Source organism: Homo sapiens, chromosome 3 (genome assembly GCF_000001405.40).
Source record: "Homo sapiens chromosome 3, GRCh38.p14 Primary Assembly".
In the NCBI taxonomy this organism is placed as follows: domain Eukaryota; kingdom Metazoa; phylum Chordata; class Mammalia; order Primates; family Hominidae; genus Homo; species Homo sapiens.
Genome location: NC_000003.12, coordinates 45,959,246 through 45,974,541, shown reverse-complemented (window position 1 = coordinate 45,974,541; position 15,296 = coordinate 45,959,246). Strand labels below are relative to the sequence as shown.

Below are 15,296 nucleotides of genomic sequence, written 5' to 3'. Positions count from 1 at the left end.
AACCTTTTGTTTCATTATGTCACCTTAAAGATTGATTTGCATAGAGATGTACTCATATTTCTCATGCATGTGACAGGCCTTGTGAATTGATGTGAGCTGAAAAAGTTTGCATATTTGATTTGAAGGTTATTTTGTTTTAGATGTTTGGTGAAGATCGCACAGTTCACAGACAATAATGTCCCACTTTTTTGCCCACGCGGGAGTGCAGTGGCACGATCATAGCACACTGTAACCTCAAGCTGCTGGGCTCAAGTGATCTTCTTACCTCAGCCTTCGAGTAGCTGGATAGGCATTTACCACTGTGTCTGGCTAATTTTTTACTTTTTATATAGACAGGGTCTCACTATGTTGCCCAGCTTGGCCTCAAATTCCTGGGCTCAAGTGAACCCCCTGCCTAGGCCTCCCAAAGTGCTAGGATTACAGGTGTGAGCCACTATGCCCAGGCATCTTTTTCATTTTGGGCAAGGGTTGGGGTAGGGGGTTGGGGTAGTCTTAACCTGTCACACAGGCTGGAGTGCAGTGGCATGATCATGGCTTACTGTGGCCTCTACCTCCTGGGTTCAAGCAATCCTCCTGCCTCAGCCTCTTGAGAAGCTGGGACTACAGGTACATGCCACCATGCTCAGCTAATTTTTTGTGTTTTTTTGGTAGAGATGGGATATTGCCATGTTGCCCACCCTGGCCTCAAACTCCTGGGTTCAAGCTATCCTCCTGCCTCAGCTTCCCAAAGTGTTGGGATTACAGGCATGAGCGACTGTGTTCTGATGCATCTTTTTAAAATTCTTGTTACTTTGCCTGAAATGAAACAACCACTACCTCAAAATGCAGATAACATTTATTTTATTTTTTCTCACCCTGTCTTACGGTGCTGAACCATTTCTGAATAGTTTGTTCCTTGGCTTTTAAATTGGTATCTGGACAGAAATTAGCAGTGAGTTTAGTGTCCCATATTGAGTTCTGAAAATGGAATAGGTAGTAATCTTTCAAAAAAGAAGTTTTCTTTCTCCTACAATTCCCCTTTCTTGGCAAATAATTGATGTTTAAGGTTTCCCATATCCTTTTTGAGAAGTAGATATGATATATATAATAAATGAATAAGCATCCAGATCATTGCAGTAATTTCTTTGAAGAAGAGCAAGCTTATTTGAGAGTTATGTTCTTCTACCATGAAAATGAAATTGGTTTGTGTGCCTGTGTCTTTTAATTTAGTAACCTGAGTTGGAATTCGATGAGGCAGAGCCACAGTGGGAGGACTGAGTAAATTCATACTTTATCTTTATTACTCTTATAATTGACATGTTTTTCTGCAGTGACTGGTACTATGCAAGAAGCCCCTTTCTGCAGCCAAAGCTGAGCTCGGACATTGTGGGCCAACTCTATGAGCTGACTGAGGTTCAGTTTGACCTGGCGTCGAGGGGCTTTGACTTGGATGCTGCCTGGCCAACATTTGCCAGGTACTTTGAAGGATTGCTTGGTTTAAAAGACAGGAAAAGAGACATTTGAAGTTTTGAAGATTGCCACCAGTCTACTCAAAACAATTTTGCTTGCTCAGTAAATTACACAAACCTGTTCAACTCTTATTCCAGCTCCTTTTACAGACTTTGTTGAATCATGACTAACAATAACATCTGAAGGCTCCAACCTTAAACCAACTTAACTGGCCAGGGCATGAGTCAGTGGAGATGTGTATTGCAAAAGCCAAGGCTTTAAAATTTTTTTAAGGCACTTGTTGTTACGGGCATTGGGGGAGGAGTGGGCTTTTTCCCGTGCCTGTTCTTATGGAGTTATTACAGAAGGCTCCTAAGCAGTAGGAGAGGAAGTGAAAGCCACAGCTTGTCCACATAAGGGTTGCAGGAAAGGTTGCTGCATTTTTGTTTCTTCTTTTTTTCTTTTCTGAGGCCATCAAGCCAGCCATATCTTACACCAGTGTGGCACTCACATACCACCAGAGTCCTTACATGAGCTCCAAGAAGGAGGTGTGAGGAACAGGCTCAGAGGATCAGGGGACTTGACAAAGTCACCTAGCTGGTGGGCAGCAGGCCTGGGACACCTGACTTGGGTTAAAATCAAGTCCAGTGTTCTTTGTTTTGTTTTGCTTTCTGTTTATAAGGCTTTTAAAATTTAACATTCATATTTTTTATTAGGAAATACTTCATGTATAGAGAAAAGTGGTGACTATGATAGTCACATGCAAACCACTAGGATTTAATTTTGCCATATTCAGATGTCCTTTTTTTATTTTTATTTTTTGTAGGGACGGAGTCTTGCCATCTCTCCCAAGCTGGTTTGAACTCCTGGGCTCAAGCTATCCTCCTATCTTGGCCTTCCAAACTGCTGGGATTACAGGTGTGAGCCACCACGCCTGGCCCAGATACTCTTTTTAAAACTTTTACATTTTGAAATAATTTCAGAATTACAGAAAAGTTGCAAAAATAGTACAAAGTACTCATCTATCCTTCACCCTGATTCCCTAGTTATCGATATTTTACTATAATTGTTCATCATTTTTTCTATTTACATGTTGATTTATTTCCTAAGCCTTTTGAGAGTAAATTACAGACTTGATCCTCTTTTCTCTTAAGTACTTAATTGTGTATTTTCTAAAATCAAGGACATCCTGTTATATAACTCAGTACAGTTATTAAAATCAGAAAATTAGCATTGATACAATACTGCTATCTAATTTACAGATCTCATTTAAATTTTACAAATTATCTCAGTAATGTCTCTCATAATCTAAGGTCCAATCCCAGATCACATATTAATTGTTAATTCATTAATTGCTATGCCTCTCTAGTCCCCTTTAATTTTGAACAGTTTTTCAGTCTTTGTCTTTCATAACATTGACATTTTTGAAAAATACAGGCCAGTTATTTTGTAAAATGTTCCTTAATTTGAGTTTGTCTGATGTTTCCTCATTATTGGATTTAGGTTAAGTGTTTTTGGCAGGAATACCTTACCTGTTGTGTCCTTGTCAGCACACTGTATCTGGAGGCACACAGTGTTGATTTGTTTCATTACTAATGAGGTTAACCCTGGTCATTTGGGTAAGGCGGTGCTTGCCAAGTTTCTCCAAAAGTTACTATTTCTTCCTTTGTAATGAGTATATATCTTATGGGAAGACATGCTGAAATTACATTATTATCCTTTTTTCTCTTAAATCTGTCCTGTATTAGTTTTAATACCATTTGATCATTCTTGCCTGAAGCAGTTATTACCATAATAATTACCAGAGTGATTTTCTAACTCCATTATTTCTTTTACATTATTAGTTGGCATTCTACTGTAAGGAAGATCTTTTTCTTTTTCCCCATTTATTCATTCATAGCAGTATTGACTCATGGATTCTTATTTTATTCAATAGGTTGCATTCTGTCACTGTCATTATTTATTTTGAAGCTTACATTATCCCATTTATCCAATTACCCCAGTGGGGAGCCCCCTTCAAGCTGGCTCTTGTGGGGAGGTTTGGTTACATCTGATACTTTTTTAAGAAATAAAATATTATAGATCAGCTAAAGCCCCACCCCAATGCCATCCTTTCTCCTTTGTTCCCCTTTCAGAAGTAATCATGTAATCAATGCATTTCATTCTCAGATCTTATGCTTTCATTATTAATTGTGTATTTGTAAATATTTTATATATGTATATATATATAGTTTTATTTTGTAAATGTTTTAAAATTTTACACATGTTGAATCATGTAATAGCTATCCTTTGCAACCTGCTTTTTTCATTTTGCCTTGTTTTTGAGATTTTGTATCTGTTTATACATGGAGTTCTGTAAGTGTAGAGTTGGGTTGGCAAAGCACAGCCCAGAGGGCTGTGTGGAACACAGCTTTGCCCATTTACTCACCTGTTGTCCATGGCTGCTTTTATGCTAACAGTGCCAGTTGAGTGACAGAGACCATATAGCCCACAAGACCAAAATATTTACTATCTGGCCCTTTTCAAAAAAAAAGAATGCCAACCCATGGTGTAGAGAATTCTGTTGGGTGAATAAGCCACAGTGTATCTCTTTCCATAGCAGTGTAGAGTTTGTTTGGTTTCCCTTTTTCCAGTTACAGTGCTGCCAAGAGCATCCCCACTGTCTCCTTATGTACATATGTGACTGTCTTCAGGGAAGATACTGTGAAGGGCAGTTGCTGGGTTTTGGAGACTAGGTTTGAACACACAATAATTTTAGATTTAGGAGATGATTCTGATGAAGTAAAAATGTGTTTCGTTTCCAGTGTTCCTGCTAAACGAGAGTTATCACACAAGCCTTTGTATTTCTAAAGCAGTGCCATCCAATGGAACTTTCTGCATGAGGGAAATGTTCTGTATCTGCACTGACTGGCCTGGTTATGTGACCTAGAAGCAGGCCTCCCAGCCACACTGTTGCTGTGTCATACAGAGCGGGCAGCTGAGCCCCCAAGCACAGTGTGACTCTTATTTACCAAACTGACTGCTGCTTGTTCCTCACTGGCAGACAAACTGAGGCAGGCACCAAAAGCTCAAGGAAAATTTAAACCAAATAGTGGGAAATACATGTTCACTTAATTCTTTTTTGGCAGTGGGAGGAAAGCCATGATGGTAAAACTCTAGCCATGGAATTTATCTGTTACAGACCAGTGTAGCTGTGCTCTTTGGTGGAATCTGTTGGCTTTGACTTTCTTACATTCTACCTGGGAAGGCAGCCCCCTACCACCACCTGGTTGCCTAGTGACCAGCAAGGCCTCCATGTGTTAGGTTTCCTGCTCTGAATACAGGTATGTCTGTTTTGTGGCCCCACAGGAGGACGCTGACCACTGGCTCTTCTGCTTACCTGTGGAAACCCCCTAGCCGCAGCTCCAGCATGAGCAGCTTGGTGAGCAGCTACCTGCAGGTAAGGCCAGGAAGGCTGGGAATTATCTTCCTATAGCTTCTACCAGGGTATGTCCTTGCCCCTAGCAACTCAAGGGTGATGTTCTCAGATGCCCGTTGTTCCAGCCAGAGCAATAGAACCACTCAGTTATGGCTGCTGTTCCCGGGAGTCTGGGTTTTTCAACCAAATAGAATCTAGGCTCTCTTAAAATTACATTCTTCTAAATGATTTTAAAGTATTTTAAAAGAAGCAGTTTAGCACCGTGGTTAAAAGTGACAAGAGTCAAATCCTGATTCTCACCTACCAGCTGTGACCAAGGGGAAATTACTTAACCTTCAGCTCTCTCATCCACAGGATGGGGATAATAAAACTCATTCTAGCTCATAAATGAGGAGTGCGCATGCACTTCTTAAGCATATGTTAAGTACTTACGGGCTTGACATATGCAAGGGCTCAGTCAATGTTAGTAGGTAGTGGCAGTTTGTTAATTTTTTTTAGAAATGTGAATTTATCACAGCTGTATATAGTTCTGTGGAAACTGAATAGCAATTAAAAAAATTAAAATGATCAATATAAGGAGCATTAAGAGTAGAAAATAGATGAATCTTTTACCTTATTTTGTGGCTTAATCATGCCAGGAGTTGCAGTTACGGGTATGGCACAATGAATGAACAACAGCTTAGATATAACTGAATTTATCTCAGAGACAACGTCCATTAAGTTAATAAGGCTGAAGAAGGCTGGATGGGAAATGCAAGTCTGTATCTCAGTGGAGCTCACATGGGTGGCCTCATAGCTTTGGAATGTGCTGCTGAATCTGTGGCAGATGCTTTGAGCAAAGGGATTCTAGTCTTTTGAATAGTTCTTTAGACTAACCTTAGGGCAGGTAATGCCTGTATTTTTACCTCTGCTCTCATTAAACTCTAAAGCTTTTCTAAATAGCCCTGTAGCTTCATCCTAAAGCCACTTGTCTTTTGTGTTTTCCCTCCCAGACTCAAGAGATGGTGTCCAACTTTGACCTGAACAGCCCCCTAAACAACGAGGCATTGGAGGGCTTTGATGAGATGCGACTAGAGCTGGACCAGTTGGAGGTGCGGGAGAAGCAGCTACGGGAGCGCATGCAGCAGCTGGACAGAGAGAACCAGGAGCTGAGGGCAGCTGTCAGCCAGCAAGGGGAGCAACTGCAGACAGAGAGGGAGAGGGGGCGCACTGCAGCGGAGGACAACGTTCGCCTCACTTGCTTGGTAGCTGAGCTCCAGAAGCAGTGGGAGGTCACCCAGGCCACCCAGAACACTGTGAAGGAGCTGCAGACATGCCTGCAGGGCCTGGAGCTAGGAGCAGCAGAGAAGGAGGAGGACTACCACACAGCCCTGCGGCGGCTGGAGTCCATGCTGCAGCCCTTGGCACAGGAGCTTGAGGCCACACGGGACTCACTGGACAAGAAAAACCAGCATTTAGCCAGCTTCCCAGGCTGGCTAGCCATGGCTCAGCAGAAGGCAGATACGGCATCAGACACAAAGGGCCGGCAAGAACCTATTCCCAGTGATGCGGCCCAGGAGATGCAGGAGCTAGGGGAGAAGCTTCAAGCCCTAGAAAGGGAGAGAACCAAGGTCGAGGAGGTCAACAGACAGCAGAGTGCCCAACTGGAACAGCTGGTCAAGGAGCTTCAGCTGAAAGAGGATGCCCGGGCCAGCCTGGAGCGCCTGGTGAAGGAGATGGCCCCACTCCAGGAGGAGTTGTCTGGGAAGGGACAGGAGGCAGACCAGCTCTGGCGACGGCTGCAGGAGTTGCTGGCCCACACGAGCTCCTGGGAGGAGGAGCTAGCAGAGTTGAGGCGGGAGAAAAAACAGCAACAGGAGGAGAAGGAGCTGCTGGAGCAGGAGGTCAGGTCTCTGACCCGGCAGCTGCAGTTCCTGGAGACCCAGCTGGCACAGGTGAGCCAACATGTGAGTGACCTGGAGGAGCAGAAGAAGCAGCTCATTCAGGACAAAGACCACCTCAGCCAGCAGGTGGGTATGCTCGAGCGGCTTGCTGGGCCGCCTGGCCCAGAACTGCCAGTGGCAGGTGAGAAGAATGAGGCCCTGGTCCCTGTGAACTCCAGTCTGCAAGAGGCCTGGGGGAAGCCAGAGGAGGAGCAGAGGGGCCTGCAGGAGGCACAGTTAGACGATACCAAGGTGCAAGAGGGCAGCCAGGAGGAAGAGCTCCGGCAGGCCAACAGGGAGCTGGAGAAGGAGCTACAGAATGTGGTCGGGCGTAACCAGCTCCTGGAGGGCAAGCTGCAAGCCCTGCAGGCCGATTACCAGGCTTTGCAGCAGCGGGAATCAGCCATCCAGGGCTCCTTGGCCTCCCTGGAGGCCGAGCAGGCCAGCATCCGGCACTTGGGTGACCAGATGGAGGCGAGCTTGCTGGCTGTAAGGAAGGCCAAGGAGGCCATGAAAGCCCAGATGGCAGAGAAGGAGGCCATTCTACAGAGCAAGGAGGGCGAGTGTCAGCAGCTGCGGGAGGAGGTGGAGCAGTGCCAGCAACTGGCAGAAGCCCGGCACAGAGAGCTTAGGGCTCTCGAGAGCCAGTGCCAGCAGCAGACCCAGCTGATTGAGGTCCTCACAGCAGAGAAAGGCCAACAGGGAGTTGGCCCACCCACTGACAATGAAGCCCGTGAGCTGGCTGCCCAGCTAGCCCTGTCTCAGGCGCAGCTGGAAGTCCATCAGGGGGAGGTCCAACGGCTGCAGGCTCAGGTGGTGGACCTCCAGGCCAAGATGCGGGCAGCCCTGGATGACCAGGACAAGGTGCAGAGCCAGCTAAGCATGGCTGAGGCCGTCCTGAGGGAGCACAAAACCCTTGTGCAGCAGCTGAAGGAGCAGAATGAAGCCCTTAACAGAGCCCATGTCCAGGAGCTGCTGCAATGCTCGGAGCGTGAAGGGGCACTGCAGGAGGAGAGGGCCGATGAGGCCCAGCAGAGGGAGGAGGAGCTGCGGGCCCTGCAGGAGGAGCTGTCCCAGGCCAAATGCAGCTCCGAGGAAGCACAGCTGGAGCACGCTGAGCTGCAAGAGCAGCTGCACCGGGCCAACACAGACACAGCTGAGCTGGGCATCCAGGTTTGCGCACTGACCGTGGAAAAGGAGCGAGTGGAGGAGGCACTGGCCTGTGCTGTCCAGGAGCTCCAGGACGCCAAAGAGGCAGCCTCAAGGGAGCGAGAGGGCCTGGAGCGCCAAGTAGCTGGGCTGCAGCAAGAGAAGGAGAGCTTGCAGGAGAAGCTGAAGGCGGCCAAGGCAGCAGCCGGCTCACTGCCTGGCCTGCAGGCCCAGCTCGCCCAGGCAGAGCAGCGGGCCCAGAGCCTCCAAGAGGCTGCACACCAGGAGCTCAACACCCTCAAGTTCCAGCTGAGTGCTGAAATCATGGACTACCAGAGCAGACTTAAGGTAATCCTAGCTTCAACCACTTGGGCTCTACCCCTCTCCCTGGGCAGGCCTGGTGGGTCCATGGGAAGATGCACCTTTAGCCATGAGGCAGGTGAGGGCTGGAGAATGTACTGTGGGTGCAGGCAAACACCTTGTGGCCCTTTCCTATCACAGCTCCCAGTAGCATCTTTCTCTCTGCAGGAATATGTTAGGCGCAGAACATTGGGAGTGATGCCTTAGCCCAGAAGTTTAAACTCAAGACCATTGCAAACAAGATTAGCCCACACAGAAGTTTGTAAAACTAGTAGCCAACATTGAAAGAGCAGGGTGTTTACAAATATAGTTTGAGGGCTTTTGAAAGCCTGCGTCCTCACCTTGCCCCCGCCCTGTGGCAGCAGTCAGCAGGAACCTGAGGGTGTCTGCCCACTTTAAAGGAGGCACACATCCTCTGCACTTTTCCTTACACTGGTTTCTGTACTTGCCCAGCCCCGCCGGGCATGTGAGTGTGAGAGCCCTGACTTGGCCTCTAAAACCCCTGCAGAGGGCCAGCAGTTCACAGCTGCCTCATGTCCTATCTCTGAGTTCTTAATGAATAACCAACCCCATCAGGTGCTCTCCTGACAGCAGATACAGGGAAGGGAACAAGCTCACTTCATTTTTACAAGGCCCTTGGGACAGACAAGTTAATGAGATGAGCAGTTACTATGTGCCTTTGATAGTACACAAAGATGAGGGGTTAAGGACTGTCTAGAGTGAAGACAGCGCAGAATGGCCTGGGGCTTTGGTTTCCAGGGCTTGCCACTAGTCTGTCTGCATCAAGGTCTGTGCACTCTCAGGCTACTCCTAACCCTCCTCTCTGAGGCAGCTCCACCGCAGTGCCACAGATGTGCCTCCCCACCCAGTGCCACCCCACTCCGTGAAACTCCATGTGGCTTATAGCCAACTTTTTCCCTTGCGGAAATTAAGTTCTAAGTTTGGGGACCAGGCTAAGTCTCTTTTCTTAGTAAGCTTGAAAGTGTTTCACTATTAATAAACCCAAAGCTCATTGAGGAGCCAGTTTGCAGGGAAAAAGAGAAAGTTAGCTTGGTTTTATCTGTTTGGGTGAGGGGGCTGAGGGATCCTCAGAGCAAGGACCCTACTTTTATGTCCTCTTTCTTTCTTGTCCTCTCTAGAATGCTGGTGAAGAGTGCAAGAGCCTCAGGGGCCAGCTTGAGGAGCAAGGCCGGCAGCTGCAGGCTGCTGAGGAAGCTGTGGAGAAGCTGAAGGTAGGCCCTGGTAGTGTAGACCTGTCAGGGAGAGGGCATCTGGTGTGGTTTTGACTGGACCATTTAAGAGGGCTCCCTGCATGCCTCCAGATTCCCAAGCTGAAGCCGTCCTCAGTTCACCTTTGTAGACACCCTAGTTTGTACCCTGACCCCCTCCATCCATTCCCTGGACACCTGGCCGGAGCTGCCAAATGCAGAAAGGAAATAAGTGTCCTCTTTGGCCATCTCTATGGGTGATCGCCAGCCAGTGATTCTGAAATGGGTGGGAGCAGGGGTGGCACTGGATCCACAGTCTTCAGAGCAGTGACTTGTTCAGGTGAATCCTGCTCCCTGCCACCCCTACCTTCAGTGTTACCCTGGGAATTCTGGTACCTGCCACTTGCCAACCACCACAACTAGTTGCAGTTGAGGCCCCACAAATATAGAGCAGAGGTTCATGGCCTCTTGAACTTAATAGGAAACAACCCTCCATTTAGAAGTGACCCAGCCAGATGGGGTGGATGGCACACCAGCCACTTTATGGTACGTTGCATGGCCTTCTGCAAGCTGAGTGTCTTCTCCCTGACGTCCTGTGCCAGGCCACCCAAGCAGACATGGGAGAGAAGCTGAGCTGCACTAGCAACCATCTTGCAGAGTGCCAGGCGGCCATGCTGAGGAAGGACAAGGAGGGGGCTGCCCTGCGTGAAGACCTAGAAAGGTTAGTCACAGTCCACCTACGTAGCTGTCGGTAGTCTTCAGGGAAGGAGTGTTTGGTCTCGTCATTTAGAAAGTCAGTCACTCATATTAGGTTTAGGAAGTCCTTTTGCAAGAAAAGCCACAAACTCAGAAAGTGCTTCTGCTGGAAGCATGCCACAGAGAACCTGGTTGCCTGCCCATCACAACCTATACACGGCTAAAGCACCTTTCTCCTAACTCAATTTTCTTCTCTCTGGCAGTGCATATCATACTTCAGTAACTGCAAGCTTTGGAAAAACTAAAATGAAATAAAAGTTAGATCATAATAATAATGGTAATAGTAGCAGCATGTATTTAAATAATGCTGAAAACGTGGCCGACTCTGTTTTGAATACTTTGCATACATTTACCCATTTAATCCTCCTAACAGTCCTATGAGGAAGGTGTTATCATCTATCCCCATTTTATGGATGAGGAAGATGAGTGTGCCAAGGACCAGGATCAGCCTGTCTTTGTGCAGACTCTGATGCCATATCTGTGGATAGCAGATCACGCTGCCACCCAAGGCCTCCTTGACCCCCTCATTTTCAGGCTTGGGGCCATGTGGAGTTGTGAGCCTAAGTCCACCATGTGGTCATGGGACACAGCTAGTTGAGCCAGGACCTGATTAAGAAAAGATGTAACAGGGAGGAAGACCTGATTTTAAAAAGGTGTAGCAGGGAGGAGGAGTTGCTGGAATCGAATTGCATGTGTGCCACCAGCAAAGATAAGCACACCAAATTGTCCCAAGTCTCTAACTTTTCTATTTATCTATTACCTCTTCCCAACACCTGCCTTCTAGGCCTGGGCTCTGGCTCAGTAGGAGATCCAGGATATCTTTGACATTTGGTAACCTGGACATACATTTTTCATCTTACCCTTCTAGTGTTCAGATCCTACAGGGCACTGGCTGCCCTTAGTTAAGTCATGTTCATATGACAATTTAAACAGAGTCTGAGTTGGTGGCATGAAAACATGATAAACAGTGGTTTTTTGTAAGATCTCAGAGCATTTGTTTCAGTTGCTCAAAGCTGTACAGTCTATTTGCCAACTTATTTTATTCAGTGTGTGTGTGTGGTGTGTGTGTGTGCAAGCACACACATATGCTGCCTGTGTGTGTGGGTGCACCTATAAGGCCATTTTGGTGGACAGGGTCTACTAAACAACTTCCTGGCAACTTTATACTAGATGTGGAAGGTGTAAAGTAATCAGTCTCTCTGCAGAACCCTTTGTTTAATGGAGCTTTTATTATGTCCCACTGGACCATCCTTGGAAAACCACTGCCTTAGGAAATAGCTGCATTAAAAATGGAGTGGGTGGGGTGAGGAAGACAGCGAGATTCAGCCAGCTCCCTCTGCTATAGACTGAGACACCCTGCAGCACCCAAAACGGAATTCCCTGGGCCTCAGGGGGGCTATCAGGTAGAACAGCTGGCAGTGCAGATTAAGACTGAGTGCCTGCTGTGGGCCCAGGGCCATGCCCCATGTGTAGAGTCCCAAGGACGTGTGGAAGACAGGCCCTCCTCTGTGTGGCCACCTCCAGGAAGCTACACCTCTGTCCTGCCTGTCCTGACTCCTTTCTCCTCCTGCCCATCCTCCCCATCACCAGCCCATGAGCCTTGCCTATCAGGCTTCTCTTGCAAGCCCAGCCCCTGTCCAGGAGCCAAGGGGTGCAGAGTTCTATTCACTTAGGGTGCTTCTGGCAACCTGGGGTCAGCCTGCTTTCCCTCCCAGAATGCCCCTTTGTATGTGGGGGTGAGAGGAGAGTCTCAAAAGCTAGGGGACTGCATAAGCTGTGAGCAGATACCAAGGGGCTCCCCCATGGCGGAGGGCAGTAGCACCCCTCATTAGAGTCCTGGGTGAGCTTAGAGCCCTGGGAAAGCTGGAAGTCCTGGCTAATCAAGAAAACTTACCACTCCTCCCCCAGGACCCAGAAGGAACTCGAAAAAGCCACAACAAAAATCCAAGAGTATTACAACAAACTCTGCCAGGAGGTGACAAATCGTGAGAGGAATGACCAGAAGATGCTTGCTGACCTGGATGACCTCAACAGAACCAAGAAGTATCTCGAGGAGCGGCTGATAGAGCTGCTCAGGTGAGTGCTGTGTCAAACCAGCAGCTGGGGTTTTCCCCACACTGGGGTTTTTCTCTAAAGAAATGCAGCTGTTCTTGAAAGCATACTTCAGAAATTTCCCCACTTTCTTGCTGCTGTCTCAGGAGCCCCTCTCTCCTTCTCCATCTCACTTTCCCCAGTACTAGAGTCCCAAACTCCAGCGCCTGCAGGTACCAGGCAGCTGATACAAGTGGAAGCTTGTATCAGGAGGGGACTGTGAGAAACTGAGGACACAGCTGGGCTCTGCTTCTGCCATATGTCTTGGCCTAGAACTGCCAGACCACCTTACTTCTTGAGAGAAGGTGGAAACCTGGATCTTAATGTGAAGTGTCCTGATTTTTTAATGCTGACAAGTCATTCAAAACTTATTTTAACTTTTCCTTATGGAAATTTTCAAATATACAAAAATGGAATCATGTAATACACCTCCAGGTACCTGTCACCCAGCTTCAACAGTGTTCAGCTCAGGGCCAGTCTTGATTCATCTGTAGACCCACCTGCTTACCCACCTTCCCAGATTATTTTGAAGCAAATCCCAGACATATCATTTCATCCATAAATATTTCAATATGTACCTCTCCAAGGTAAGGACTCTTTTATTTTCTATTTTTTGAATTTTTTTTTTTTTTGAGACAGAGTCTCACTCTGTTGCCCAGGCTTGAGTACAGTGGCGTGATCTTGGCTCACTGCAACCTCTTCCTCCTGCATTCAAGCGATTCTTGTGCCTCAGCCACCCAAGTAGCTGGGATTACAGGCACACACCACCACTCCCAGCTAATTTTTATATTTTTAGTAGAAATAGGCTTCACCATGTTGGCCAGGCTGGTTCTGAATTCCTGGCCCCAAATGATTTGCCTGCCTCAGCCTCCCAAGTCCTGGGAGTACAGGCATGAGCCACCATGCCTGGTGCCAGAACCCTCCATTTTAAACAACCACAGTGTCCTTATTACACCTTAAAAAATGAAGTATAATTTCTTAATATCATCAAGTGTCTAGTCAGTTTCAAATTTTTCCGATTGCCTTAGAATATTTTCAGGTCGTTCTAATCAGGATCTAAATTAGATTCATCTATTGCAATTGCTGTGTCTCTTACATCCCTTTTAGTCAATGGGTTTCCCTATCATCTCTCTACTTTTGCCGATTGCATCCCCATGGTGTCATTTAACATGATCATCCATCCCTTGCATTTCCTGTGAGTCCATAGTTAGAACTATTGCAGTGGTTCTCAATCCTGGCTACATATTAGAATCACTAGGAAAGTAATTTAAAAATGCCCATGTCCAGGCCCCACCAAGACTAACCGAATTGGAATTTCTGGGAGTGAGACTCAGACACCAGTGAGCCAGAGCTGAGAACCATCATTCTACTGGCAGCTTGCTTAGACTCAGGTTCAAAATTTTGGTAAGAAGCCTTCATAGAATTGGTTTGTAGTTTGGGGTCTTTCCTTCAAGAGGCACATACAATCTGATTAGCCCTGTTTTTGTGATGTTAGCAGCACCATGGATCAGCAAAGCCTAGATATGCTAATTCATTAAGTGTTAGAAAACAGTGATATTAAAATTATAACCAATTTGAAAGTTTAAAAACTCTGCCTTCTTATCATCAATATACAGAGTTAGAACTCAGGGTATTTGTGACCTGAGGGGTGTGATGGAAAACACCAGCTCCTGGCAGCATTCCACATTCCCAAAGTTTGGGTGGACCAGCCTAGAGAATGAGGCTGCTTCAGAGAATGAGTCTTCCTGCTTCCTGACAATTTCAAGTGTCCTTGAAAAAGCCAGCCAAGCCCATGTTCAAGCTTTTTTATTTAAGGCAAAAGATCTGGGGTTGATTGGGAGTTCCTGGTCAGTGATGGAGCCTGTCTCTCTCAGGACCTGAGTGGCTCGGGTGTCACATTACCGGTGGCTGAGGTGCTGCTAGAGCCACGTTAGCCCTGAGGATGCTAGCTGGGGCTCCATACGAGAAAGAACTAAACTTCACATGTCAGAAACCATCAAGCCTGAACATGCTCATTAGTATCCCTGAGGAAGCCTCTGTTCACATCCTCCCCCTCCAGTGCATCAGGCACATTCTGACACTGCCAGACCTTTCTGGAAAGCCTCACACTTCTTTGAGTCTGGCTTCTTGGAGTGACCTTACCATCTCTCTGAGGGGCAGAGGAGGCTAACATCTGATCAGATTTTCACACTAGGAAATCTTTGATCTTCTCCACTGATTAATTGTTACTTGGATCAACCATAGAAACATAAAGGGCCCCAAGCACATTAAGATTCAGGTGGGAAGTACATTCATGGTCCTTGGGCTTACTGCACGCCGTCGGCATGGCAGCACGTTTTAGCTTAAACTCCCAGTGGTCCCCCAGCACTGTTGTTTAGGTGCCTGAGTGGTGGCTCTCTTTGGTGCTGGCAGCTCTTTGCATTTAACAGTGCCTTCTGTGTACATCTTTTGCCTCCCGCATGTTCTCACACATGCGGTGTCAGTTAAGTCTGCATGTCGGGGGAGATGGAGGAGACTTAGCATGGGCTGGGGCATATTTCCAAGGTGAAAGTGAATTTTCTTTCTATGACTTAGGAAATTTGATACCAGTCTTTTGAAATGAAGAAGGATCATCCTATTGTTTTCATGGATTCTCTCTCCTTTTCTTCCAATGTGGTTTTGTCCCAGGGACAAGGATGCTCTCTGGCAGAAGTCAGATGCCCTGGAATTCCAGCAGAAGCTCAGTGCTGAGGAGAGATGGCTCGGAGACACAGAGGCAAACCACTGCCTCGACTGTAAGCGGGAGTTCAGCTGGATGGTGCGGCGGCACCACTGCAGGTCAGCAGGGAGCTCGTGGGTTGGCACCAACACCCTGGTGGGGCCCAGGACCAGAGCAGACAGCTCCAAAAGAGGACTCTGTGATAGGTGTTGGCACCATGGCTGACTATTTAGGAAGAGCACATTGCGTTTTGGCTTTAAGGGAAC

The 15,296-nt window shown here is 47.1% G+C and overlaps 1 protein-coding gene across 14 annotated transcripts in view, besides 3 other annotated features; it reads left to right on the top strand.

Moving 5' to 3' along the window:
* Positions 1 to 15,296, top strand: part of FYCO1 (FYVE and coiled-coil domain autophagy adaptor 1) — a 77,922-nt gene that overhangs the window by 21,283 nt on the left and 41,343 nt on the right. For 11 of the 14 annotated variants that reach the window (NR_170107.1, NM_001386426.1, NM_001386423.1 and 8 more), the window contains 7 exons: positions 1,311 to 1,454; positions 4,777 to 4,867; positions 5,839 to 8,265; positions 9,417 to 9,509; positions 10,088 to 10,206; positions 12,150 to 12,317; positions 15,000 to 15,149. Coding sequence is in view for 13 of the 14 variants with exons in the window: in NM_001386426.1 (NP_001373355.1) it covers positions 1,311 to 1,454; positions 4,777 to 4,867; positions 5,839 to 8,265; positions 9,417 to 9,509; positions 10,088 to 10,206; positions 12,150 to 12,317; positions 15,000 to 15,149 (3,192 nt within the window). In the remaining variant the exon portion in view is untranslated. Of the gene's footprint in view, positions 1 to 1,310; positions 1,455 to 4,776; positions 4,868 to 5,838; positions 8,266 to 9,416; positions 9,510 to 10,087; positions 10,207 to 12,149; positions 12,318 to 14,999; positions 15,150 to 15,296 lie in introns of those variants that run through there. The other 3 variants (NM_001386430.1, NM_001386427.1, XM_047448903.1) reach the window with 2 other exon arrangements.
* Positions 5,588 to 6,227: an enhancer, noted in NCBI's record as "H3K27ac-H3K4me1 hESC enhancer chr3:46009807-46010446 (GRCh37/hg19 assembly coordinates)". NCBI's record gives its function as "activates a minimal SCP1, AML or CMV promoter by ChIP-STARR-seq in naive H9 embryonic stem cells {active_cell/tissue: H9 hESC(naive)}" and the evidence as "EXISTENCE:reporter gene assay evidence [ECO:0000049][PMID:30033119]".
* Positions 6,228 to 6,867: an enhancer, noted in NCBI's record as "H3K27ac-H3K4me1 hESC enhancer chr3:46009167-46009806 (GRCh37/hg19 assembly coordinates)". NCBI's record gives its function as "activates a minimal SCP1, AML or CMV promoter by ChIP-STARR-seq in naive H9 embryonic stem cells {active_cell/tissue: H9 hESC(naive)}" and the evidence as "EXISTENCE:reporter gene assay evidence [ECO:0000049][PMID:30033119]".
* Positions 12,395 to 12,584: an enhancer, noted in NCBI's record as "active region_19787". NCBI's record gives its function as "activates an Ori minimal core promoter by ATAC-STARR-seq in GM12878 lymphoblastoid cells {active_cell/tissue: GM12878}" and the evidence as "EXISTENCE:reporter gene assay evidence [ECO:0000049][PMID:35858748]".